Here is a 27,014-nt window from a genome sequence, read left to right as displayed (position 1 = left end):
GGTGATTGGATCATGGGGGTGGTTTCTAATGGTTTAGCACCATCCCCCTAGTGCTGTCTTGTGATAGAATTCTCATGAGATATGATTGTTTGAAAGTGTATAGCACCTCCCCTCTTCTCTCTCTCTCTCTGTCTCTCTCTCTTTCTCTCTCTCCTGCTCTGCCATGGGAAGATGTGCCTACTTCCCCTTTGCCTTCCACCGTGACTGTACATTTCCTGAGGACTCCCTAGCCATGCTTTCTGTACAGCCTGCTGAACTGTGAGTCAATTAAATCTCTTTGTTTCATAAGTACCCAGTCTCAGGTAGTTCTTTATAGCAATGTGAGAACAGACTAATACCAAGACCTTATCTCCAAACACAACTATATTCTGAGGTACTGGAGGTTAGGACTTCAACATATGAATTTTGGGAGGACATAACTCAGCCCATGATGAGATCTAATTGTTTATTTGACAAGCACCTGCTGAGTACTTGATATGAGCTAGGCAGTTAGCCTAGCTGGTCAGGGCACAGTCAAAACTATACTGATTATGTTAATGAGCCAGTTGGCATAACCCTCCCCAAGGACAGACAAGAGAGTATAGCAGAAGTGGGGTGATGCTTCCATCATTCTTGCTGAAGCAGCCCCAAGCACTTGTGGTAGGTGCACCAGAAGATCATCTTCAGGAAGAAGAAAGACATGCTCAGGTTGGGAGACTGCTGTTAGACACAGTGGGCAAACCCAGGACTATGGTGTCCAGAGATGAAGGCTTCCTCTCTGAGCCACTGTAGGGGGCACACTCCACTGGTGTTGGACTCTGAATAGACTTGGGGAATATGGGCTTAAAGGTCTTAAAGTGAAAGGGCCATATGAATACTTTGAAGATGCTAAGTGATGACATGATTCAGTGCTTGGAATGGCTCAGCCATGGCCATATGAGTAGCAGCTTTTGATCAAGTGTCATGGGAAGGTGAATGCGGGCAGGGGGACCAATGCCTGACAGTTGAGGGTAAAAGACAGGACAGCCCAGACATTCAGTGGTGGATAAGAGCAATACCTAACTCCAAAGCAGAAGCACATGAACACATTGAAAGAACACTGGACACAGTCATGGGCTTTATTTTTATATGCCTTAAACCTTTCATATTTATTATGTGATCTTATCCTCCCAACAAACTTGTTGAGTAAGTAGGGCAGGTATTATTAATCCTATAAGTTAAATGAGGCAATAAGGCCCAAGTCAGTCAAATGAGTGGCTAAGACCACACACTACATTAAATCAAAAGCTGTTTCCTGACTCCCATTCCTGAGTTCACTCACCTTTCAGCACTGAGACTGGTTGTGGGATTTGTCAGTAGTGATTTTTTAAAAAGCTCATGCAGTTCTTTTTGGCTTTGTGACAGAAGATGTTTTGGCTGGGTCTGAGCCTTGCCCAGCTGCTTGTCATATGTCAAGAGTCATAATGCAGGAGTGAACCAAAGGCACCCCTTGTCCTTGAATATGCTGAGTGGTCATGAACTAGAATGGTTTTTGAAGGGAGACTTATGGTTGAGTCACGGCAAGGCAAAAGGAAGCCTTCTTCCCTCCCTCCCTTCCTTTCTTGTCTAGAGCTTAAAGGCAATGTCAAGCAGCCTACTGTCCATTCTATTTCCCCTGGGCCACCCCCTTGGCCTTCCTTGGCTCCTAGACTCAAAGTCTCTCCCAAGCAAAAGATGCACCAGCATTTCCAATCTAACTCCAAAGTCCTGAGGCTACTTCCTCTGGGAAGCCCTTCTTGAGCCCCCAGACCTGAGGCAGGGATCTATCCCTTCTACTCCACAAACCCTAGCACTGTCATAGCACCAGAAGCTTTGACTAGCAATTGCCCATTGGCCTTTCTGGGTTCCCTATGAGATTGCGCTTCTCATGGACAGAGGCTAGTCCTTTTGGACTACAAATTTATTCCCAGGGTGACTACAGTGACCCAGGATACTCCCTTGAAGGAATGGAAAGAGGAAACAGGGAGGCCGAGGCGGGCGGATCACGAGGTCAGGAGATCGAGACCATCCTGGCTAACACGGTGAAACCCCGTCTCTACTAAAAATACAAAAAATTAGCCGGGCGTGGTAGCGGGCGCCTGTAGTCCCAGCTACTCGGGAGGCTGAGGCAGGAGAATGGCGTGAACCCGGGAGGCGGAGCTTGCAGTGAGCCGAGATCGCGCCGCTGCACTCCAGCCTGGGCGACAGAGCGAGACTCCGTCTCAAAAAAAAAAAAAAAAAAAGAGGAAACAAAAGAGTGAGGTTTTACAAGAGCTTCACTCCTGCCTCCCCCAAATTCCACTTCAGCTGTAGGTTGTCAGAAGAAAGAAGTAAGGAAGTGTTGATCATTCTTTGCTGAAGCTGGTCTATGGTGGTTCCATTATGGCCACAATTCCCAAGAAACTTGGACAGAAATGGTGGGTGGAGAGAGGAAAATAAGGGCCACCACAAAGATCACTTTCTTGGAAGGAAACGCGGGTTGAAACCAGAGGGATCCTTTCTCTGACCTTGGAGGATAAATGGGGAAATGGAATTCCAGTGGAATGGTGGTAACAGCTATTGATCATGACAGAGACTAAAAGGGTTGGGTCATGTCTGCCATGGCTCATCTTGGCAGTTGCACTCAGATATGGCTTGCACTATTCAGAATCTGAGTTTGGACTCTGAACCATTATAAAAAGACTGGATAAACTAAATATAAACATGCAGAATGCAAATTCTAAGAAATAAAAAAAAATGTGATGATCTTTATTAAAACCCCAAGGCAAATAGTATTTAAAGAGGACACTGATATACATAGGACTGCTGTCACTTCCTCACTCTAAAATAGAGCCTGTTCCAGCCCATCTCACACATGACTATTATGTAGAACAAGCTGTAAAATATGACCGTAAAGCACTTTGCAGACATAAAATGCTACATGACAAATCCTTACTACTACTTCCCATCACTTAATGTCTGAAAATAAATGTCTACCAATTACAATAATTTTATGTGACTTCGATGGCTGCTGGCTCTTACCAAACATGGAAGTAGAAACTGGGCTATCTGTGGAAGGCACAGAGTGCCTTGTACGTAAAACTGCCTTGCTATAATACATTTGTTTGAGTCCTTCATATTGAAAAAAAATTGTTTGCCTGTCTGGAAGATTCTGAAGGTAGATAAAATGTTTTACTTGCCATTTCGCTCCCAGACCGTATCACACGTAGGTAATTATTATAATATGTTCATTGAATGAATTAAAGATTGCATGAATTAATGATCCAAGATAAACTAAGGGTACAAGCTTCTAGGTAGAATGGGAGCCATCAAATACTTTCCCTAACCCGGACACACACATTGCTTTATGACTGGAGTAGGATCATTGGCATTGTCAGGGAACTGGTCCAAGTTATTTCTATATCATGCATTTCCTCAGAGGTTAGGACTGTCAGGTTTAAATCTTTTCCCATAAAAACTGTTTTTATTTTGCATTCATGATTCAGTTAGCCATTTTCTTGGAAAGTGTTAGCACTATTTCATTGTCCACATTAGGATTGTCTTCACTTCGTTCCCCACCCCCAAACAAAAACAAAAAACACTGCAGTTCATACTCTGGACATCAAACTCCTCACTCTAAAGAGTAGGGGCTGGTCCAAATGCTTCCTTTCAACTTAAGACTCCATGATTTTGTGAGGACACCTCAGTCTAGTGCCTGCCAGTGGAATAGAATCATTTTAACAAGAAAACAGGTTAGGGAAGGAGCTGCTGGGCAGCTTCAGCCATTTAATACCATGCTTGACAATACAATTCACCTTGTACTCCTTCCTGAATCACAGCCTCCAATATGCTGCGTGCCCCCGACAGCTGGGGCACCATTTGCTGAGTTGAGGCAAGATACGCATTTTGCAACCACTCTATCTCACCCACGCAGGAAACCATTCACCTTCTGGCTGACCTAGCAACCAAATCATAAGCTCAACAGAGAAGCTGGGGGTGATGTGGAAGCTTAAAGGGGGAAAGAATAAGATTGCTTTATGCAGGGTTATTGTCCAGATTTATTTATGGCCCCTAAGTTAGACCCCCTCCACATGCTGTTGGCTGAGAACAAGAGGGCTGCTATTTAGCAGTAGGATGATTTTTTTAAAAAATATAAAATCCTTGAAATGATTACATATTCCCAAAATTCAACTTGTAACTGTTTTACAAAACCAGAAGACTGTTCCACAATGCCTGTATGTGTGGTCATTAACTACAGTGGTCTGGGGCATGGAGCAGGATGTGGACACACCACACACTCCTACTGAGATTACAGTCAGGAGCTAGGCATTGCTCTTCATTTTGAGTTTAAAATAAAAAAGAAGACAAGACTGACAAATGAAATATTAATATGGAGCACCCGCCAACAGGTTCATAAAAATTAAGTACTCCTTTTGCCTCTTGCCTCCTCTGCATAGTTTCTCTTTTTGGAATCGAACCAGCTCTCCTTGTCATTATCCAATCGATATGGCCAATGGCAATCCTGGGCACTTGGAAATGACATTTATGTGCTCTCCAGCAGCTGCCATCCATCTCTCGCTTTTCCTGGGAGAGCACAGTCCCTGAGATGACCGAGACTCAGGGCGTTTATCTCCACTTTGATACTATTTCTACTTCATCCTGTGCCTCTGTTGACAAAACAGTCAAGTAGACAGAGTCCTACTTGATCCAGCCTCATGAGAAAAAGACTTCATTCTGCTTCAAATGTCTTCAGGACACATGTGTCAACTATCTGAGGTCCTTGGAAGAGAATCTAAATTCAGGCATGGGATATATCATGGTGATCAAGTTAATCTGCCTAATTTCTCTTCTCCACATGTCAGCAGATAGTAACAGGATATAAGTAAGGAAGACACTTGAAGGTTTTTAAGAGGACAGCATGTGTTTCAGACATGATCTCTCAGCTGTGGCAGGGGAGAGGTGTTAGGTGGAGGATAAAGGACAAGGCTTGGGAAGGTACAGATGGAGATAGAGGGTCCTGAAACACACAATGTGAAGCCGGGCTGTTCCATTGCCCTTTTTACCCCTTCCCCGCTGGGGCACAGCTTCACAGGACAGGGCTTCCCATTTCCTGCTACAGTGCAATTCTGACACCAACTACCAGAGTTGGTGCAGACTTTCCTGGTTGGAAGCACAGACCCCCAAAAAACTCCCCACCCTTTAGACCCCAGCCACAAGCCCTGGGGTTTCCAGGCCACCCACACATGATTGAAATACAAGCCACATTATTGATCTCATCTGCAGCCTTCCCCACTCCCCCAACCCCTCTAAGCATATGATTGGCGTTTCTGGCCTGGATAGTCCCTATGCTGAAACTGTCAAGGGCATAGTCACCTCACCTCACCAGCATGAACTCAGGCCTGGCCTTAGGGGCCCAGCATGAGTACCAAAGACACTCCTATCGCTCAGAACACTCCAAGGGTTTAGAAATTCCCACCCAGGAGCCTAGTCAAAGACCAGCCACATTCTTTGTTGTAGAACGTCTGCCTTTCTCCTCTGGAACTGAGACTTAAAAACAGAGGCCAAGTCACATTTTGTTTTACAAACTTGCTTTACCATGGGATTTCTTTTAGCTCAAACTCCCCAAAGCATTTAAAATCTAATAATAACTTCACTGCATTCGTGTGCTTGCCGAGAGACCGTTCTGCACATGGAGAGCACGGTTCCAGTCCCGGCTTATGGTTTCTTGGCAGGGGGACATTGTGTGGGCTGCCTTAGGGTGTGTGGCCCTGGGAAAATATTTTTACAGGGTCTCATCTCTATACAGAAATTTGAGTTACCTTAAAATCTTGGTGTCAGCACCATTCTAGTGCCTCACACAATCTCATGAAAGGATACTCTGCCGACCGGCAGGCATAATCTCTTGATGGGACACCCTCTTGGGTCTGGGCCCAACTGAGGACCCTGGGACAACCCCATAGGTGCAGGTCTTTAAGCTCCTTGGGTAGCTGGTCACCCCAGGGAAATGGGGTAAATTGAGTATTGGAGACACATGAAGGCCAAGGCCCCTAGGGGTCCCACTGCCCTTTAGGGATGGGAGGGCCTAAGGCATGGAGCAGAGCAGCCCCACCCCCACAAGTCCCTTGAGTTTGCCAGGTTCTCAGGATGTTTCTGGATGTTGGACGAATGCCTTAATCTCTGTGTGTCTCTTTCCTCATCTGTAGAATGGAGGTTATAATAGCAATGACTCCTTAGGGTTAATGGAAAGATAGAACCGAAGTAGAGCCTGGCATAAAATAAGTGCTTTTTTAAGGTATTAATTCCGTTTCATGGTTTTTTTTTTTTTTTTTTTTTTTTTTTTTTTTTTTTTTTAAGTCTTGCTCTGTCACCAGGCTGGAGTGCAGTGGCACGATCTCGGCTCACTGCAACCTCCGCCTCCCGGGTTCAGTGATTCCTCTGCCTCAGCCTCCCGAGTAGCTGGGACTACAGGTGCACGCCACCATGTTTTATGGGGTTTTATAAAAAATTAAATGTTAACCTTTAATCCACCCAACTCTTTAAATAACTTCCTATTTGAATTCACATTTCACTGATGAGGAAATTGGGATTTTTAGAAAATTAAAGTAATTTGTCCAAGGTCACATATATATCTGGTAAGTGTCTGAGTCAGAGTTTGAGCCCAGTTAAGTCTGACTCTACTGCCTGATTATTTTACTATATGCTCCACTATCCCTCAATTGCTCGAAACTCAAATTTATGTTATCTTTAAAAAAACCATGGCTAATGCATACAAAGGCACGTTTGTGTGGCCTGATATCAGCATGGGGGCATTCTTTCTGGGGTGCAAGCTGCAGATAACTTTGGCTGCTAGAGGACCTTCTAGAAGCAGGAGCTGCATGGCAGAGTGGAGCCTATAATGCAAGCTTGCCAGCTTATTAGCAAGCATGTAAACACCAAGAAAGTGACACTACAATTATTTCTCAACCCAGCACCAAGTGCCACAACCTGTCTTCCTTTAGGGACTAACAGAACTTTATTCAACCTTCCCTGTAGGCTCCACCAAGCACTGGAGGTTCCTCTGTTCCTGCAATCCCTTGGGGGATATTTGAACATTATATTCTTCAGCCTTGGCTTTGGGAGGGTGGAATTTACAAAGGAGCTCCCAGCCAAGCTTAGGTATGGGGAGGAATCACTTAGCAGCCTGCCTATGAACAGAGTTGAAAAGGGAATAGATAATTCCAGGAGCAGCCTGAAGGCAGTTTCAGCAGAAGAAGGGCACATTAAGATATAGAAGAGAACAACAATTAGAAGTTAGAGGAATCCACAAAAGTGAAAGAAGTCATTGAAGTTGGGAAGAACCCATTAGGCTTGGGCCCTTGGGCACAGCTAAGAATATCTGTGCCAGGTACAAATTCCAAGCCTCATACTTAGAGATTTGGAGCAGAAAAGCTAAGAGGAAACGCAGGGAAAAGAAGTCACTCCTACAGCAAGCAGAAGCGAGTTACCCAACCAGGGAACCTCCCTGTTAGAACTATTCCAGTTATACCAATGTCAAGGACATCACCAGTGAGTTCAGATATTTAGTAGCCAAGGAAATATGCCTCTAGAAAACTGAGGTTCTAGATCAGTGAAGCTGGAAGCACCTCAGTTATGATTCTGACATAGGTAGGAAGGGATGACAAAGACATATTTTTGTGACTTTGTGGGTCTGTGCAGAGCAAAACAGTTTCAAATGATTCCACAAAGCAAAATGATTCGTCTTCTGAAAACTGAATGTGAGAAAAACCACCAAAATCCACCTATTCAAACTTTCAGGTGATTGAGTCACGTCAGGATAAGTATAAGTTGGCATTTTTATATTTGATTCAGAGGTGGTCATAAAGACCTTTTCAAAGAGGTAGGAAATGAGGCCAGTGAGAGCAACTGTGAATGGGAAATGTCAGGACACCAGAGATAGTGCAAATGAAACAGAATTGAGCCAAGAGCTGCAGCAGGTAATTTCAAAAGGCTAAGGTCATCCAATCTCCCTCCGTGGGGGTGTGAGCTTTTCAGCAACCAGAGAGTTTGCAGCTAACACTTCCTGGGGAATTAGTCAAGGTCATATGGGCTGACTGGAGGTAAAAAGGAGGCTGATCACTAAATCTCCTTGCTGATGAGGAGCTGGATCTGAGAATGCAATCTAGCCATGAGTTCTGGAAGGTTTCCATGACTCTCTCCACTCAAAATCGGGTGCTGGCTATGGTGTCACTGACATTTGTCTTCATGGTTCTTTGCCCTTTCTCTTTCAGCTCCTAACAGGACCCACTTCTACCCCCAAACACTGGCCTCTCTCGCCATGCAAGGCCTCCATTCATGGAGTTGACTGAGAAGGCAAATAATTTATGCTCAAGGTTTGGTCATTTAAAGCATTGCTTTCCTATCCCCAGAACTATCTTTGTTGCTGCTGTTGTTTTTGTTAATAATAGTAATTAGATACAAAAGACAATGAATGTATCAGGAGGGGATGTAAAGGAGCCTTCCCTCTTCCTTCAACCCCCACTGCATTCTAGTGCTAATCACTCTGGGTTTAAAGCCAGGAAGCTCAACTTCTAGCCTCTGCCACTTAGGACACTGTGTGATCTTCAACAAGTCATGACACCTCTCGGGAGGCTTATTTTTCTCATCTAGAATGAGGAGGAAAGGATGATTTCTAATAATCTGCTTCAAAAATCTTCTAAATTCTATGAGCTCCGTGTGAGTGAAAGCCAAGCCTGTTAGCATGTCTTGGATCTAACTCCACAGAACACCGCAGGGGGTGTGCAGTGCCTTTGCCAATGTCTATTATGTCTACAACACATTCTCCCTGAGAGTGAGACAGGAAAGCCAATGGAAAACGTTACAGAGCCCACCACACTGGCCTGGATTGCATGAGACTGTGGCCAGAAGCGAGGATTTCAGACATCATGGTCATTGATGTGAGCAAACTTTTGCCTTCTCTACTAATTGAGATGAAGGCAACAGGAAAAGAATGGCCATGCACCCTGGGAGGCAGCCCAGCTCCACATGGGCCCAGTGGAATATTTGCTGGCCTATTTGGAAGTTAGAGAGAAAAGATTATGAAAGTAAATACTATTTAAAAATTTTTCTTTTTTTTTTTTTGAGACGGAGTCTTGTTCTGTCACCCAGGCTGGAATACAGTGGCATGATCTCTGCTCACGGCAAGCTCCGCCTCCTGGGTTCACGCCATTCTCCTACCTCAGCCTTCCGAGTAGCTGGGACTACAGGCGCCCGCCACCACGCCCAGCTAATTTTTTGTATTTTTAATAGAGATGGGGTTTCACCGTGTTAGCTAAGATGGTCTCGATCTCCTGACCTTGTGATCTGCCCACCTCGGCCTCCCAAAGTGCTGGGATTACAGGCATGAACTACCGTGCCCAGCCTAAAAATTTTTCTTTCATACAAAGCCTAGTTCTCTCCCCAGCACTTATTTTTTATTATTATTATTTTTTAACAGCTCTAGTGACCACAGATTCCATACCAGGAGTCATTTTGCTCAAGAAGTACTTTTCCTGGTCTATGTTAGGCTTTTCATAACAGTCGATGATGAAAAGTCTTGACAGCTGCTGTTTGCATTGTAGGTGGGGACAGGTGAGTTGACATGGAATTGTTTGTGCTTCTTTTGTGCAAACATTGAATAACAGTTACCTTCAGTTGAACTTTACCAGGTCAAGAAATTCCACTTTAATAAAACCTAACTCAGGCTTCCTATTAAAACAGAGGTGAAGAACCAGGGGCGCCTTGAGCTAAGGAGGAGAGAGGCCTAAAGTTGGTTTTACTGGCACCCAAGAAACCATCATTCTTTGTTTCTTGAGCTCAAAGCACTTGTTTTTGCCTACGAATTAATTATTAGGAGGTGATTTGAACCCGTGGTCATGCCTACTAGGTATAAGGCTTCTGATAGAAGACAGATTCAGTAATCACTGCCTGGCATTTCCAGTTGAAAAGGGTCCACCCCAAAATTAGTTATGGGATGCCTCTCAAGGCTTCCATGAGAGATCCAGGCAGCATCTCCGAGGAGAGTGTTCAATCTAATCTCAGGACAGGGGAATGGCCTTATTTTGTGATATTGTGCTTTGTCCCCATGACGGGTCATCCCTTTTTCTCTGCTGATTTCTTTCTGCTCTAGGTGAAATCCTCCAGTACGTGGCCCTGGCCCTTCCGGGAGGACCTTCCTGTTTGGCATGCACAGCCAATGAGCTGTGAAGCACTTGCAGAGCTCAAAATAGAAAGTCTGCAAGCACACTGCTCCCCAGGGCCTAGTCTGTGCCTGCTTGCTCAGATGCTAGGGGAGTGGGGCTAGGAGGGCCGGCTTCTCTGAGAAGGCCAGGCACCTTTCAGGGGTGGGCCTCAGTGCAGAGGGAATATGATTGCTAAGTCACCACCCTCATAGTTTTAGAAATCATTTCAGATCTCTGCCAATTGCAACATTATAACTAAGCCCTGGATTCCCTCCCCAACCTAATATCAAGAAAAAGTTGATTGCTTTCTAAGATTAAACCAGCTAAACACACAAATTTTAGGATTTCTGAGGGTATGAAAGGTACTTGGCTATTATCAACATCAGAGAGAGCTATTAAGAGGAAAGAAGGGGAAGAGCTTTGAACAAACAAAAGCCTTTCTCCTGCTCTGCTAATCCACCTTGAGATATGATGACTCATGTCGAGTTGCCTTGGTAACCATGACGTCAGAAGAGGGAGTGTGTGTGTATGTGTGTGTTGGTGGGGAATCCTTTCACACGTCCATCCTGTGCCTCATCCTGTGAGTGCCATGAGCTGACCCTGCATGCACAGACATCGCCCTTTTGCACCTGGAATCATTTTGCTATTGCAGGGTCTGACCACGGGCTGCTTGTCATTGATCATTTTCTTGGGGTGAGCAGTTTTGATGGACAGGGTGTCTGTCAGTGGCCCAAGGGCACCCAGAGTATGATCAGAGACTCTGCTAGCCTCCTTCTCCATCCCCTCCCCAGCTTTCCTGCTGGGGTCTGTGGTTTGTCTTCATCAAACGAAGACCTGCAGCCCCAGGGTGGTTTTAGTTTTTGGGAAGTCTGGTCTGTCCTCCCAGGCTGTAAGTCTGGCCCTGTATAATGACAACCAGGTGGGCACATTGAATCAGAATTAGAAAAGGCATCACCAGCTGGGGAAGGGGGTGTAGACTGTGTGGGTCCCTAGCTTGCCTTTTTTATCTCTAAGTCCAAAGAGAAACTCCTCTAATCCCTGGTTTGCTCTGGAATGCCAGCTGCAGAGAAACAGCCACAACAGTCACTTGTAAAGAGAGGCCCTTTCTTTGAAGCAGAATTTGCAGCCATGGCTAAACATTCAGGTGAAATCATATTACAGCAAATCCTTTCAGGCCGAAGTGGCTCAGCAGAGCTATTCTATATCCTGGGAAGACTTCGGGATTCAGCGAATCCTCTGCGATGAATGATCCTGTGCAGTGACTATTTTATGTGGTTCTAGTCCAGTAACTGTTACCCATACTGTGAAAAGCTCTGTAAAATGAGATCTGTCTGAGAATAACTTGTATCCAAGAAGCAGTGGTGTTATTAAGAGGCAACATGGGGGCCGGGCGCGGTGGCTCATGCCTGTAATCTCAGCACTTTGGAAGGCCGAGGCAGGCAGATCACAAGGTCAGGAGATCCAGACCATACTGGCTAACATGGTGAAACCCCGTCTCTACTAAAAGTACACAAAATTAGCCGGGCGTGGTGGCGGGTGCCTATAGTCCCAGCTACGCAGGAGGCTGAGGCAGGAGAATGGTGTGAACCAAGGCAGCTGAGCTTGCAGTGAGCTGAGATTGCGCCACTGCACTCCAGCCTGGGCGACAGAGTGAGACTCCGTCTCAAAAAAAAAAAAAAAAAAAAAGCAACATGGAGCAGTTAAAAAATTGACCAGTTACAAGTAATGTGACCTTAGACAAGTCTCTTTAATTCTGTGACCTCAGTTTATTTATTTTTAATAAGTTTATTTATTTTTAATGATGAGGCTAGTAGCACTTTTCAGGGTCTTGGTGAGAATTCAGGGAGAGAGTGTGGGAAAGTGCTTCGTGGTCTGGGATGGAACATTCCAACAGAGGCTATTACCATTGCTTCAGATGAGACTTGAATCCCAGCCAATACAAGTACATCAAAATGCTGGACGTTGACATTGTCTTGTCATGAGAATTGTAATGTCTTCCATTATTCCATGAATGCTATCAGTAGAAAATTTGGAATTTTTTTCTAGCTTTATTGAGGTATAACTGACAAATAAAAATAGTATGTGTCTAACATGTATACTGTAATGATTATATATATATATATGTATAGAATTCTTACCATAATCAAGTTAATTAGCATTAATCTCACAGTTACCCTTTAATTTTTTTTTTTGCAGTGAGAACACTTAAGATCTACTCTCTTAGCAAATTTCAAGCATACAATGCATTGTTATTAACTATAGTCATCATACTGTACATTAGATTTCCAGAACATATTCATCTTATAACTGAAAGTTTGTACCTGTTGATCAACATCTCCTCATTTCTCCCACTTAAAATTTGTAATTTTATTTTATTTATTTAGTTTTTTTGAGATGGACTCTCGCTCTGTTGCCCAGGTTGGAGTGCAGTGGCGTGATCTCAGCTCACTGCAATCTCTGCCTCCCTGGTTCAAGCAATTCCCCTGCCTCGGCCTCCCAAGTAGCTGGGAGTACAGGCATGTACCACCATGCCCGGCTAATTTTTGTATTGTTTTAGTAGAGATGGGGTTTCACCATATTGGTCAGGCTGGCCTCAAACTCCTGACCTCAGGTGAGCCACCTGCCTCGGCCTCTCAAAGTACTGGGTGTGAGCCACCGTGCCTGGCCCAAAATGTGGAATTTTAAATAAGAATCTCACACATTATACTTAAGGTATGTGCTTTCTAGATCCCTTGCTGTCGTGCAACCAGGAGCATGAAGTCATAAATGGGGTGGGGTTGGGGAGGGAGAGGGAGGGAGGCACTCCCTGACACTTCCTGCAAGCTGTTGTTACTAAGGCAGCAGAGTAGAAAGATGAAGTGCAAGGACCTGGAAATCAGACACACCTGGGTTCCTGGTGAGCTTCACTGCTTCCTGGTCTCTGATATCAGGCAAGTCACTTAACCTCTTCAATCTTCAGTTTTGTCTTTTATAAATGAGCCATAATAATGATTTATGAGTTTCTTGTGACATTTAAATAAACCAATGTATGTAAATGCTTAATCCACTGACTGGTACACAGTAAGTGCTCAAAAATGTTGGTTATTAATAATTCCCATAATCAATTGATGTTTCCTCATCATTGAATGTTTCTTTTAAATATGGAACTTAGAAAACATCACTCAGCTCTGAGTTCATTTTGCTGAAGGTTGAAAATATTAGAGGACACCTATATCTGTCACCATTTCCACTGATGACTTCAAAGTTGCAGTGCTTAGCGCACATGTCATAATGCAAAAGCATCTAGCACAGTACCCAGCATGGCACGTGGTGAGTGTTCTGGAAACTTACAAGAATGGGATGAGAACATGTAAGCATCTGCAATGCCAGGCTCAGGAATTTGGAATGACTTTGATAACCAACATGGTGCCATCAATGGTTACTGAGCCATAGAGGTGCAAGATCATATCCAGGCTTTAGGAAGACAACTCTGAGAAGAGGTTGCAGAATGAGTTGAGGGGGAAAATGTCTGGATGCTGGGAGATTATGGCTGTGCTGCCAGAGATAAGATTATGGCAGTATAAGAACAGAGAGAATGGGATACACTGAGAAGCATGGCAAGTGTAGGACCTACAGGAGGAACTTGGAGCTGGGGGTCAGGGTAGAGAAAGGAGTGATGGTGAGTGGAAGGTTTCTAGGTCAGGCAGGGTGAAGATGGGCAGTTAAGGAAGGACTGTCGGGGTGGGGAGGCCCCTGTTCATCTGCACTGTTGGGTTTGAGGAGGGGCTGGTGAAGGGGCATGAATGTAGAAATACAGTTTAGAGCAAAGAAGAGAGGGCGGGGCTTGAGCTAAAGTAGAGGGGTCTTCTACCTAAGGATTACTGCTGAGGCCATGGGATTCTCTGCCCATATCCAGGTTAGGAGGGAGGAGCAACCCCAGGGGAAGAGTGGTCAGAGAGACCACTTTCTGTGAAAAGGGGACAGTGGAGTATCACAGACATCAAAGGGATAGAGCATTAAGACTTGTCCAACCAGACTTGTTGCAAGAGTCAAGGGAGGCTCCAGAGTCAAGGAGGCTGGATTTGTAATGAGGATGCCCCTCAGAACCCTAAGCCATCCCCTTTAAAGAAATGGAAGGAATGAAATCATGTCCTTTGCAGCAACATGGATGCAGCTAGGGCCATAATCCTAAGCAAATTAATGCAGGAACAGAAAACCGAACACCACATGTTCTCACTTATAAGTGGGAGTTAAGCATTGAGTATACATGGACATAACTGTGGGAACGATAGATGGGACCATCAGAGGGTGAAGGGAGAGGGAAGTGGGTTACAAAACTACCTCACGGGTACTGTGCTCACTACCAGGGTGACGGGATCCATACTCCAAACTGCAGCATCACACAATATTCCAAGGTAACAAATCTGTGCATCTACGCACTGAATCTAAAATAAATGTTGAAATGTAAAAACAAAACGAACAAAAAACAGCAATTAATGGGTTCACAAAAATATAAGAAAACACAAGATAGAGGGGGTGGCGAATACAGTAGCACAGTTTTACATGTATGAAATACTTAGGATATGCATGAATATGATGATAAATATGGTACTTTTTTTAATACACGGATGTGCAGTTAAGTAGTCGGGGAGGGGGCTGAGTCCAGAAGTCAGTCAGCTGCCCAGATACGACCAAGCATACCTTGGCTATAGATACCAACTGCTTTAGTTTCAAGCCTTGCCAAGAATGATACCCTCCCTTCTGGAAGCTGCGTGTAAAGGCTCATGTTTCAGGAGAGGAGCAGGAGTCGGGAGACTTGGTGGGAACCAGCTGTGCGACCTGGGGCAGGTTTCCTTTTCCTTTCAGGTCCTTATCTCTAAAATGAAGTGATTGATCCAGGTTATCTCCAGAGTGTCTCAATACACTCACTTCTTCTCCCTGTGATAGGAGAAATAAACAAAATATAGTTAATTTGGTAAAAAAGATACCAAAGACAAAACCCCATCAAATCTCAATTGTTTTCCTCTCTGCTTTCCCACCTACATCTAAGGGAATGTCCTCTCCTGCTTCAGTGTCTGGTCTTGGCTAGGACATCACGATGCTTTGCTTCCAAATCTAGAAGACAGAGGAGAGGGGAAAAGAGGAAAGATAACATGTCACTTTTCTTGCCTGCCAGTGATTATATTTGGAGGGAAGGTGAGGAGCAGACGATAAATCTTATTGGATCCTCATCTCACAATAATTCTGTAGAACATATAGAGCAGGGACGATTTTCCATATTTTGTGGTCGATAGAACTGAAACCAGAGAGGTTCAGTAGCCTCCTGAAACTCCTGCAGATAACTAATTAAACATTTACTGGATACCTCCTATGCTTGACTTCAGGGAAACAAAGATGAATAAGGCACTAGCTGTGTGATCTGAAGCAAATGACTTAACATTTCTGGCTTTAGTGTTATCCCCTATAAAAAAGAGGGGACTCCATTCTATGATTTGCTAGGTCCTTATGTTTCACATATTATGGTTTGGTCTCTGCATCCTCCTGTTCCATCACAGGAAAAGGCTGAAGCCTTTGCCTGGGCTCTAACTGGGTCTAGGTTGTGTGAACCTCTAGATGCAGACATCGGGGGCAAGAGGTGAGTCGCTGGTTGCCTTCCAGGCAGATGTAGTTAGAGAGTTGGCTGCAGAAAATGATTTCGCTCTGTGTCTCCAAGATCATAGGCAGGTGGGAGCCCAGAGGGAGGCTATCAGGATTCACATCAGATTGTTAGTTGAGGGGAGTTATTATTTTTAAGCCAGCACCAACTTAAGCACTGCCTTGCTTGCTTGCTGTCTGGGACATTCTTTAGTGTTTTTTCAGCCCGCAGCTCCCATGGGCAATACAGGTCACTCTTCAGTCAGTTCCCCTGATCTGTCCTTGCTATTTCAATCCTTATACTTGCGAAGGATCAGTAGCAAAGGAGAAACCAGACTAAAGAAAGATAAAATTATCAATGTCAATATGAACATAACTATTTGTATGCAAGTTCATGAACACACTTCGCTGTGAGCCCACGAGAATGTTCAGCATAACCACCTGCCAGGGTTGTGGTGGGGTGAGGAGCAGGGCTGACTGTCTGGCTCTCACTTTCTTTTCTTTTTGATATGGTTTGGATCTCTGTCCCCACCAAATCTCATATTGAACAAAATCGCCAGTGTTGGAGGTGGCACCTGGTGGGAGGTGATCAGAACATGGGGGTGGAGTTCTCATGAATGGGTTAGCACCATCCCATTGTTCTCATAATGGTCAGTGACTGAGTTATTGTGAGATCTGGTTGTTTAAAAGTGTGTGGCACCTTCCCACTCTCTCTCTTCCTCCTGCTTCAACCTTATGTAGTGCTGGCTCTTCACTGTAAGTTTCCTGAGGCCTCCCCAGAAGCAGATGCTGCCACGCTTCCTGTACAGCCTGCAGAATCATGAGCCAATTAAACCTCATTTCTTAATAAATTACTCAGTCTCAGGTATTTCTTTATAGCAATGTGAAAATGGACTAATACATTTTATTTTATTTTATTTTTTTATTTTATTTGGAGACAGGGTCTTGCTGTCACCCAGACTGGAGTACAGTGGTGTGATCATAGCTCAATGCAGCTGGGCCCAAGGGATCCTCCTGCCTCAGCCTCCTGAGTAGCTGGGACTACAGGCTCATGCCACCACACCCGTTTATTTTTTTTGTTTTGGAGACAGGATCTTGCTGTGTTGCCCAGGCTGGTCTTGAACTCCTGCCTCAGCCTCCCAAAGTGTTGGGATTACAAGTGTGAGCCACCACCTCTGGCCAGGCTCTCACTTTCTAGGTGGCATTGTGGGTGAAGTATCAACCTCTGTGCTTTGGTTTCCTTGCTGTAGAGTAGAGATAATAATAGTACCTACCTGAAAGAGTAGTTTTGAAGACACAGTGTCCTAATTCATGTGAGGTGCTTAGAGCAGTGCCTGGCACACAGTAAAAACTTAAACTATGAACTGCTCATCAGTTCTTATTATCTATAGGCCGTTAGTTCACAGGCTCACACAATGTCTCTTCACAGCTCTTTGAGGATCCACAATTCTAATCATAATTCAGCCTTTCTTCTTAGAGTAGCTTCAGATCCTGACATTAATTTCCTCAGACATTTAAGGAATCACGAGGTAATGGGTTATTATCTCATTTTTTTTCAAAGTGAAAGCAAGTTTATTAAGAAAGTAAAGGAATAAAAGAATGGCTACTCCATAGACAGAGCAGCCTATTATCTCATTTTATCAATGAAAAGATTTGAATAAAAAATTAAGTATCAGTTTGTGCCCAGTCTCCTTGGGCATCCATAACAGATATGGTAGAAGTATATAGACTCTTGCCTGTCCTGGCTCATCTTACTGTCACCCCTGCCAGCTGTAAGGGTGCACAGTATTCTCATCATGCTGGAAGGATCCTGTCCTACCCCTGGAAACATGGCTGGCCTTTTCAGCCAAAGCACCATCCCCAGAGACTCCAGTCCTGGAGCCCTCATGACACCCATGTCCTGAGGGACCCTTACCCTCAGTCCCCAAGTTGAAAGTTTGCTAGGTTACAGCTGACCCTCAGGAGGCCTAGAGCAAAGGAAGGGAACATGTCCTTCCTCTCTGTGGCCAGGAAGGGTCCCTGCACATCCAATCAGCCAAAGTGCTGCTGTCCTTGGAAGGCTAGGGTGCGAGTGGCGAGAGGGGTTTGTTAGGACCTGTATTATTTTTTTCTTCAATCAAAATAAATGTTCATTAAAAGGAAATAAGTTTAGATTATTCAAATAAACAAAAATAAACCAAATATAACCTATATGTCCTATAATATAAAATATTCACCTATAACTTTACTTATTTCTCATAAATACCCAAAGGAGTAGAGTAGCACCAATGGAAGTATGCTATACAAATAGATTTCAGCATTTTTAAAGTAGAAATTTTTAGTGGCATAAAATCTGGAAGAATGGATGGGCTGCCTTTAGAGGAAACAAGGTCCTAGTTTCTGGGGAGGCTTCACAACATGCAGGGTAACCATTTCACATGGAAGCGGGTTCCATTTTAATGGCCATCCAAGAATTAAAATGAGAATTTTGCAGTAATGAAATAGGCTCCTTCCAAAATAGCACCGAACACTCTCTCTGCAGTGTGTTCAATCAAAATAGCTGTCATAATTTTTTTTAATTGCCCAAACACCTGGTTCATGATAAAACTCCTTGGGAATCTTTAAGATGAAGGAAGGGTCTATGTTAGCTGGGAGTGAATCCTGTGTGAGCAGATCACATCAAAAGGTCATGCTCAAGTATGTTGTATGTTCCAAGCACAGCTCTGGATGCTTAGGGAAATAAAGTGTCATAAGACAGGGGTCCTTATCCCCTGGGCCATGGACCAAGACTAAGCCACGCAGGAGGTGAACGGCAGGCAAGCCAGGAAAGCTTGTCTGTATTTTCGGCTCCTCCCTATCACTCGCATTACTGCTTGAGCTCTGCCTCCTGTCAGATCAGCAGTGGCATTAGATTCTCATAGGAGCACGAACCCTATTGTGAATTGCGCATGTGAGGGAACTGGGTTGCATGCTTCTTATGAGAATCTAAGGCCTGATGATCTGTCACTGTCTCCCATCACCCCCAGAGGGGACCAGCTAGTTTCAGGAAAACAAGCTCAGGGTTCTCATTGATTCTACATTATGGTGAGTTGCATAATTATTTCATTATGTATTACAATGTGATAATAATAGAAATACAGTGCACAATAAATGTAATGGGCTTGAATCACCCCGAAACCATCCCCCCACCCACCAGTCCATAGAAAAGTTGTCTTCCATGAAACTTGTCCCTGGTGCCAAAAAGGTTGGGGACCACTCATATAAGACACAGCCAGCACCCCAAAGGAGCTTATAGCTATTTGGGATATAGGGAATTGAGAGGTCAAACCCATTCTCCTTTTCTCTAATATGGTAATACTGAAAAATTACTTGCCCAGGTCGCAGGGAGTTAGAGGAAGAGCTGGGAGGAGAATCTGGAATTGAACATGAGGAGACAGAAAAGGGAGAGTCCCAGGGAGCACAGGGGGTGCTGGGAGTGAAAACTGACACTGGTGGCTCTGGTTCATAGAAAGAGATGCCCTCCGGATCATTTAAGGTCAGGAGTTTGAAACCAGCCTGGCCAACATGGCGAAACTCCATCTCTACTAAAAATACAAAAATTAGCCTGGCTTGGTAGTGGGCACCTGTAGTCCCAGCTATTCAGGAGGCTGAGGCAGGAGAATCTCTTGAACCCGGGAGGCAGAGGTTGCAGTGAGCCAAGATTATGCAACTGCATTCCACTCCAGCCTAGGCAACAAAGTGAGACTCTTTCTTAAAAAAAAAAAAAAAAAAAAAAAGCCGTCTTCTGCACCCTCTACTACCCCTGGTTCTAGTTCTAACTTTGAGTGGAAAACATCTCATGTTCACTGTCTTTCCTGCTGGCACCAAGACCTTGGCTCTTTTGGGCAGTGGTAGACATGGGATTTCTCTCTCTCCTCCCACACTCCCACCCTCCCTTCCAGAAAGCTGAGGCCCCAAGGAGGGAGGGCCTCTGTCTGCAGCCTGACTGGTACCCCAGTCCTTGCCTTTTCTGTGCTGGAGCTGCACAAGGCCATTTCGTGTCCCATTTAGCAAGTGTGGAGAGCTCTTTGATTTGGTAGATGATAGCACAAGTCATCCTGTCTCCGATGGTGGGTGAAATACCATCTGATTCAGAGCTTCTTTCGTGACTTCCTCCAGAACCGACTGCCTCATTTGTGTCTCCAAAAATAAAAATAGCAAGGGTTAGATCCTATGCCTCTCCTATTCCCTGGGGATGCTGTGATTGAGTGATGACTTTACCAGCAAAATATCGAGGCTGTCGGTCTGTTCCCTTTTGATCAGAATCTAGAAAAAGCAAGTGGAGCAAGTGATGTTATTCTCTGAACTTCGCTGCAGTCCTCCCCAGGGGTTAAGGGCTCAGGACCCTGTTTGGCCCAGCGTTTTCAGCTTGTTCATTTCATGTTGAGCTTTGCTTTCTACAAATCAGTGTGTGGACAAGATCAGTCTTTTAGCAAAGCAGTAGTTAAGGCAGTGCTATGGGGGAAGTGTCAGGGGGGACTACAGTGCCTGGATTTCACCATCAAAGATCCCTTCCATTGGTTACTTCTCACTAAGATCCTTTCAAAAGGTCCTTTGAAAAGAATACAAAGCTTTGGAAAGAGCCACACGAATGTAAACTAAGGTGTGGCAAGGTTATGTTACTCTAGGTCAGAGGTATGGGTGTCAGGAGGCTCAGGGAAGCCATTAGGTCCTAGAGACATTAGGTCTGAGACAAGAAGCTTCCAGAGTCTAGGAACTCAGTGGATAACAGCAAAGACATCAACCCCAGGACAAGGCAATGCCTGTAACCCTGCTGTTATTGCCCATTTGCTCCAGGACACCATCCTCCCTCACCGAGGCTTAGTATTAGGGTTAGAATGGGTGCTCATGATAGAGTATGTATTAAGTTCCTGTCCAGGCTCAGTGGCTCACACCTGTAATCCTAGCACTTTGGGAGGCCAAGGTGGGCAGATCATTTGAGGTCAGGAATTTGAGATCAGCCTGGCCAACATGGTGAAACCCTGTCTCCACTGAAAACAAAAAAAAATTAGCTGGGCGTGGTGGTGCATGCCTGTAATCCTGGCTACTTAGGATGCTGAGGCAGGAGAATCACTTGAACCTGGGAGGTGGAGGTTGTAGTGAGCTGAGATCATGCCACTGCACTCCAGCCTGAATGACAGAGCGAGACTCCATCACAAAAAAAAAAGTTCCTTTCTTTTCCATTAAAAAGAACTCATCTCATCTATGTGTCCAACTATATATAGATCCCAGATCACATTTGAAGATAAAATATCAGGGATCTCCCAGGCCCCTGGCAATGTGGAAAGGAACCAGATTACATACAGGGGCAGTGTGAGTCTCCTTCTTAAGCTCCCCTCCCACCCCCAGAGCAGCAGCCACCTGTCTTTGGAAGAAATGGATCATGGCCGGCACTCCACGCTTGGACCCGTCTCTGAAAGCACAGCTTGGCTTCCATCATTCTTATGATCCCTTTTAATAACAAACAGCAGCCTTCCAGAGCAATAAGCTCAGCCTCTTCCATTGTTCCCACAGCCACAGACACAGGCATGCCTGTGCCCTCTCCTTGGTTCTTGCCATGGACAATCCTAGGGACAAAAAAAGTAGTGTTTCATGGCAACCTTGAGATGGCATGCACCTAGAGGTAAGTCTACAGACAGGGTCAGTATTAGATATAAATTGCAGTGAGACTTGTCTATGGCACCCTCCATTGGCACCTTTCTGCCTTTTACACCTTTCCTGTCCTTTCTCTCCTGCACTTAGTGCTTTGATACACATAGTCCAGGGATGGCAAATACATTCCATTTTCAGTGCCAACTGTGATTAATCAGTAGGGATCACTGTATTGAGAAAGAAAAAACAGCGGTATGTGAATTCTGGAATCAATTGCTAATGTCTGCCATGGAGATATTATTTGCATCTTCTCATTCATCCATGACCCTTAGAAGGCAAGACTGTGGGTTATTCAACTTCAGATCTCTAATTATTGGTGCCCAATTATGTATTATATTTGAACAGTATCTGTAACAACTGTGGAATCTTTTATGTCTAATTTGCTTGTTTTCAGCTCTGCCCAAATTTCAGCTGTCACAGAATGAGTGATCCTCATAGTATAATGGAAATGCATCATCTCAGTTTCCCCATGGCCTGAATGTCCATACAAAATGAGAGCCAGTAGAGAAAAACAGAGGACGTGAGGAGTTTTTAAAAATTGAGGAAAAGTGGAAGGAAAAGTAAGGATGAAGGTGAAGATGAAGGAATATGTCAGAGATGCTAGCACTGGCATCCCCCACCACACAGTACCATGTACTGCTAAAGAACTCTAGAACATACAGGTAAGTGCTATGCTGCAGCAAACTTAAACAAACTTGCAAGAGCTGCTTGTTAAATTTTCAGGAATTTTGTGAGTCAGTTGACATCATGTTCGTAGATTGAAATTAGCTATGATGACAGTATTTATACCATAGGAATTGGCAAAGGCTAAAACATTTACTAGTACCACTTTGCATATATGCCCCCAAACTCTGCGTGTAGATAGGAATGAAATCATTAGTACCAGTCGATAGCATCCAAAATAGGCTAAGCTGTCTTCAGTTTTGAGTCTTGGTGGGGAAGTAGGACTGGCACTCTGGCTACCCTTCATGCCCAGTGGGGATCAGTGGTTGCTGTTCTTTTCAGTGTTCTAGGATTTGATTGGCCCTCTCATATGATTTGGATGTTTCGTCCCCTCCAAATCTTACATTGAAATGTGACATCCAATGTTGGAGATGGTCTTACTGGGAAGTCATGGAGGTGCATCCCTCATGAATGACTTGGTGCCTTGTCCTCATCGTAATGAATGAGTTCTCACTCTATGAGTTCACTAGAGAGCTGTTGTTTAAAAAAAGCCCGGCACCTCCCTCCTCTCTGTCTTGCTCCTACTCTTGCTATGTGACTGCTGGCTCCCGCTATGCCATGATTGGAAGCGTCCTGAGGCCCTCCCCAGAAGCAGATACTGACACTATGCTTCCTATACATCCTGTAGAACTGTGAGCCAAATAAGCCTCTTTTCTGTATAATTACCCAGTCTGAGGTATTCCTTTATAGCAACACAAACAGAGTAACACACTCTCTTATCAGAGGCTCACCTTGACATCAGAGTGGAAGAGTGGTGGCATGTCAAACATGGACGATGGGAAGGGCAGCTGCACAGAGGGGGCTCTTGGTGATTATATGATACTGTAAATTAGTTATCACGTTGCATTCCTGCAATGGCAATTTGAAGAGAAAACAACACAAGAACTCCTAGGTCATGTCATTGACTGAGGAATGCTTTTTCACTCCATTAAAATGAGCCCTGGAGGACAGGTCCAAGCCTACACGGGCAGGGTCCTTTTGGGAAAGCTCACCTGAGGTCTCTGGGAAGAAAGGAGTTTCTCATAGAGGCTCAGAGAATTTCTTAATGTAACTATTTCCTTCTCTGACTAACAAGGGTGTAGACGGCAGTCTTCTTGGGGAAAAAGAGGCTTCAGGATTGCAAGATTTCAGCTACTGTCTCTCCTCGGAGCAGGATTCCATCTTTTCCATGGCTGGGGCCCTTGACACATGTCACTGTGCACTGCTCTTCTCGCTGGGGTAAGAAGGAGTGGGGAGTGCTGGTGGAGAGGGTGGGAAGGTCCTGGGAAAATGGCTGATTTGGAGGCCATTCCTTCATCATACAATGCTGGGGGCAATCTAGAGACCCCTCCTTTGCTAGATCGCGAATTTGGAGCCATGGCTGAATGGGACCACAGAAGGACTGTCCTGCCCATTGACATTGTCATTGATTCAGAGCAGTAGGAATGTGTTCGGTGAAGACAGGACCACAGGGCAAACTAGAGAAGCACAATAGATAAAATGAATGCAAGAAGGACCAGTCTCGAGAGAGGGGAGAGAATGATAGAAAGATAACCCTTGAATAACCTCTGCTCACTTCCTGAAGTGTTTTCTGAGCTTCGGTGATATTCAGCACTCTCTCATAATTTCCGCCACCTCTCCTTCCTTTCCACGTACTTTACTATTTATTTAATATTGTCTTTAAAATCGCTCACTTAAAGAAAAACCTACTCAGCCTCATGTTAAAAATAGAACTCTTAAAATCATAGGTTTGATAGGTGAGTTTTAGTTTCTCTAACACATATGACTATAAAGGCATAACTGTTAAAATGGAAAACTCTTTATGCATCCACCCCCAAAGTCATGGCGGGTCCCCGTGCTGCACCTGGATGGGAGGAATGGTCTCCGTGGACACAGACAGATGTCACTTAGAACAAAACTGCAGAAAGCACCTGAATTTGTCTGTCTGTAATTCATCAATACCTCCCCATCTCCTGCCCAACTCACACGTCAATTTAACAGTAGCGGCCATAGTTGTTGTGGCATTCATTCATTGAAGCTCTCATTTGGCATCAGACACATTTTTTTTTTCCCTTCTGAAAGGCCTCAAGCAGGTGAACAAGAGTGAGAGGTGCTTGCTCTCTGTCCAATCAGGTGTTGAGTTGTGGTGGTTTGTTTCATTGTCAAGAATGGAGTCGTTGCCTGTCTAATGTACTACAAGGTGTTCCACTTAAAAACAGAGTCTCTGGAGGGAATTATTCTAGAATAAGCTATTTCCCTCCATCTAAAATGAAGGAAGAAAAATACCAAGAAGAAATCCATATTTTCATGTCATTCTTCTTCCTGTGTCTGCTCTGTCCTGTCTCCTCCTTTTCATGCCACTTCTCTTGTCTGTTCCTAATTTTCTTAATCCTTTTCTCGCTCTGTCTGTTGTCTCTTTATCATAACCCAAAACTACCAATGTAGGCCGGGTGCGGTGACTCACATCTGTAATCCCAGCATTTTGGGAGGCCGAGGTGGGCGGATAACGAGGTCAGGAGATCGAGACCATCATGGTCAACATGGTGAAACCCCGTCTCTACTAAAAATACAAAAATTAGCTGGATGTGGTAGTGCATGCTTGTAATCCCAGCTACTCGGGAGGCTGAGGCAGGAGAATCGCTTGAACCGGGGAGTCGGAGGTTGCAGTGAGCCGAGATCGCACCACTGCACTCCAGCCTGGTGACAGAGCGAGACTCCTTCTCAAAAAAAAAGAAAGAAAAAAAGAATCTAACTTATTTTTGTTTATAACAGGGTATATTTTCTTGGTAGATGCTTAAGCCTGATGTGTACTTTCTTGGTGGCATAAATCACTTCTGGAAGGGGACTGTAAGACAGGTCTCCCAAACATGAACGGTACCCATCAGCTTTTAATGGTGGTCTTGGCTGTCGGCTTGGATTATACTTCCACTAGGGGGCGCTCTTCCCTTTAAATGTCAAAAACTATCTTCACTGGAAGTCAATATTGCAACAGGAACAATGGAAACGTTTATTTCCTTTCGGAAATAGCTGCTACTGAGCACAGCTCTGGAAGGAGATTATTAAGGATATGCGAGTTGCAAAGAAAATACTTGGTTGTAGCAGCAAATTCACCTACTATTGAAGACATAATGTCAATGAACAGTGGTGGCTGTAGTTGCTGTGGGATTCCTGATGTAGTGACTTCTAGGAGATCCTTTCCTACTCCACGTGGCAGCTAGCAAATTTCTCTCTCTAAATTCAACCTGGAGTCAAGGGATCCTTCTCAATAATTTCACAAACTTTTGGGCCTGTAATCTTTCTAGGTTGAATTCTAGGTTTGATTTGGTGACTTTAAATCTTGTGAGATCTCAGCCATTTCCAAGTCCTAACCCTTCACTGCACAAATAAGGAAACAGGCACAAAGAGGTAGAACAGTGTGTCTAGACCATACAGCACAAAGGGGCAGATCTTCTGATGCCGTGTTTCAAATTACTTCAGTCCTTAGATGTCTGTGTCTTCATTACGAATGCCTTCTTCCAGCTTTCCACAGTGTCTTTTGTCGATAAGATTTATTTAAAGTCTTTTCAGACTTGACAGGGTTCACTGTAGCTCTGACCTTGTAATATTTTACTATAGACATTAGGTTATGGTAGTTTTTATATACTCGGGGCTACTGCAGTTTTTTCAAATAATTCACACGTATTGAATTCTAAGTGAATGACGTTCATTGGGCCCTCAACACATGAACCATCGTGTCCAGGATATAATAAAAGAGAACAAAAGAGCACTGACTTTCTCAGCACCCACGGACTGATTTTTGAGTTCCGGCCACATCTTAAAGAACAAGTTACTTTGGACAAAATTACTTAATCTTCTTTGGGCTTTCATCTTCTTTTCTGAAGAGAGACTTTCTGTGCATTCTTTTGTTTACTCCTCGAAACAGCCCTCAGAGGTCAATATAATTCTCATTGTCCCCATTTTACAGAAAAGGAAACTGAGGCCCAGAGAGGGCAAGTGAATTTCCCAAGAGTGTCCAGATGATACGGAGCTGAGCTGGAAAGTGAGCCTGGATCTCTCTGGTTCTGAAAGCTTTGCTCGAAAGCACAGGATGACACCTCCATTCAATCAATAAGCACTGAGACCCTTCCATGGACTCAGCAGGTCCTGCTGTCCCTGAAGGTTGACACTCTCATTTCAAACCACAGCGAGAACCCCAAAAGGAAACAGTGCAAGGAAAATAATGTGATATTTGAGAGGCAGCATGGATTATTGGGGACAGGGTTCATGTCCCTTCTCTCCCACACACGTGGCATGATGTTAAGCGGGTCACCTCACCTCTCCAGGGTTGTTTCCTCAACTGAGAAAATGAGGGGGTTGAGATGAACGCCAGCCCTGGGGTGCTCAATGCTGCAGTCTAGGGTGGTGTGGACTGGAATCAGAATTCTTTCTCCTCCGCTCTGGGTGCTGACACATGATCTCTGGCTCTCACTCCCCACCCCTAATCTTGCCCATCTGAGTTTCAGGTTATTTTTTCCTTCCTCCTGCTCTTCAATTTCCTTATTGAGGAAGCTCTTTCCTGCTGCCTCTGTCCCCGCTGGAGCTGTTTGATCCAGTAGAGCCAGTCGAAGCCAAGGGGACCCTGACTTGAATCTTGCTTTCTGACATGCTGGCTGTGGCTTGCTTGGGACCTGAATAAGAGCTTGCTTACTCCCGGTGTTCACCACAGCGGAACCATGGGTGCAGAAATGTAATTCTCAACCAGCCCAGTTTAATCAGCGAAAGACAATAGAGCTTGCAGGCGGTGTCATGCTGAGTATCTGAACACACCATGGCTGCTGTCGCCCTTTTCATTAAAATGATTGAAAATGTATTTCTAAA

At 44.6% G+C, this 27,014-nt stretch overlaps 1 long non-coding RNA gene across 1 annotated transcript, besides 1 other annotated feature; it reads left to right on the top strand.

The window, feature by feature from the left end:
* The first annotated feature begins 163 nt into the window (after positions 1 to 163).
* On the top strand, positions 164 to 27,014 carry LINC00589 (long intergenic non-protein coding RNA 589). The gene is made up of 4 exons (NR_026765.2): positions 164 to 258; positions 21,850 to 22,117; positions 23,254 to 23,396; positions 26,122 to 27,014. It is a non-coding gene; the product is annotated as a long intergenic non-protein coding RNA 589 (long non-coding RNA).
* Positions 10,603 to 11,461: an enhancer, noted in NCBI's record as "H3K27ac hESC enhancer chr8:29594328-29595186 (GRCh37/hg19 assembly coordinates)". NCBI's record gives its function as "activates a minimal SCP1, AML or CMV promoter by ChIP-STARR-seq in naive H9 embryonic stem cells {active_cell/tissue: H9 hESC(naive)}" and the evidence as "EXISTENCE:reporter gene assay evidence [ECO:0000049][PMID:30033119]".

Source organism: Homo sapiens, chromosome 8 (assembly GCF_000001405.40).
Source record: "Homo sapiens chromosome 8, GRCh38.p14 Primary Assembly".
In the NCBI taxonomy this organism is placed as follows: Eukaryota; Metazoa; Chordata; class Mammalia; order Primates; family Hominidae; genus Homo; species Homo sapiens.
Note: the sequence above shows the minus strand (reverse complement) of the source record. Positions and strands in the feature narration are given on the sequence as shown.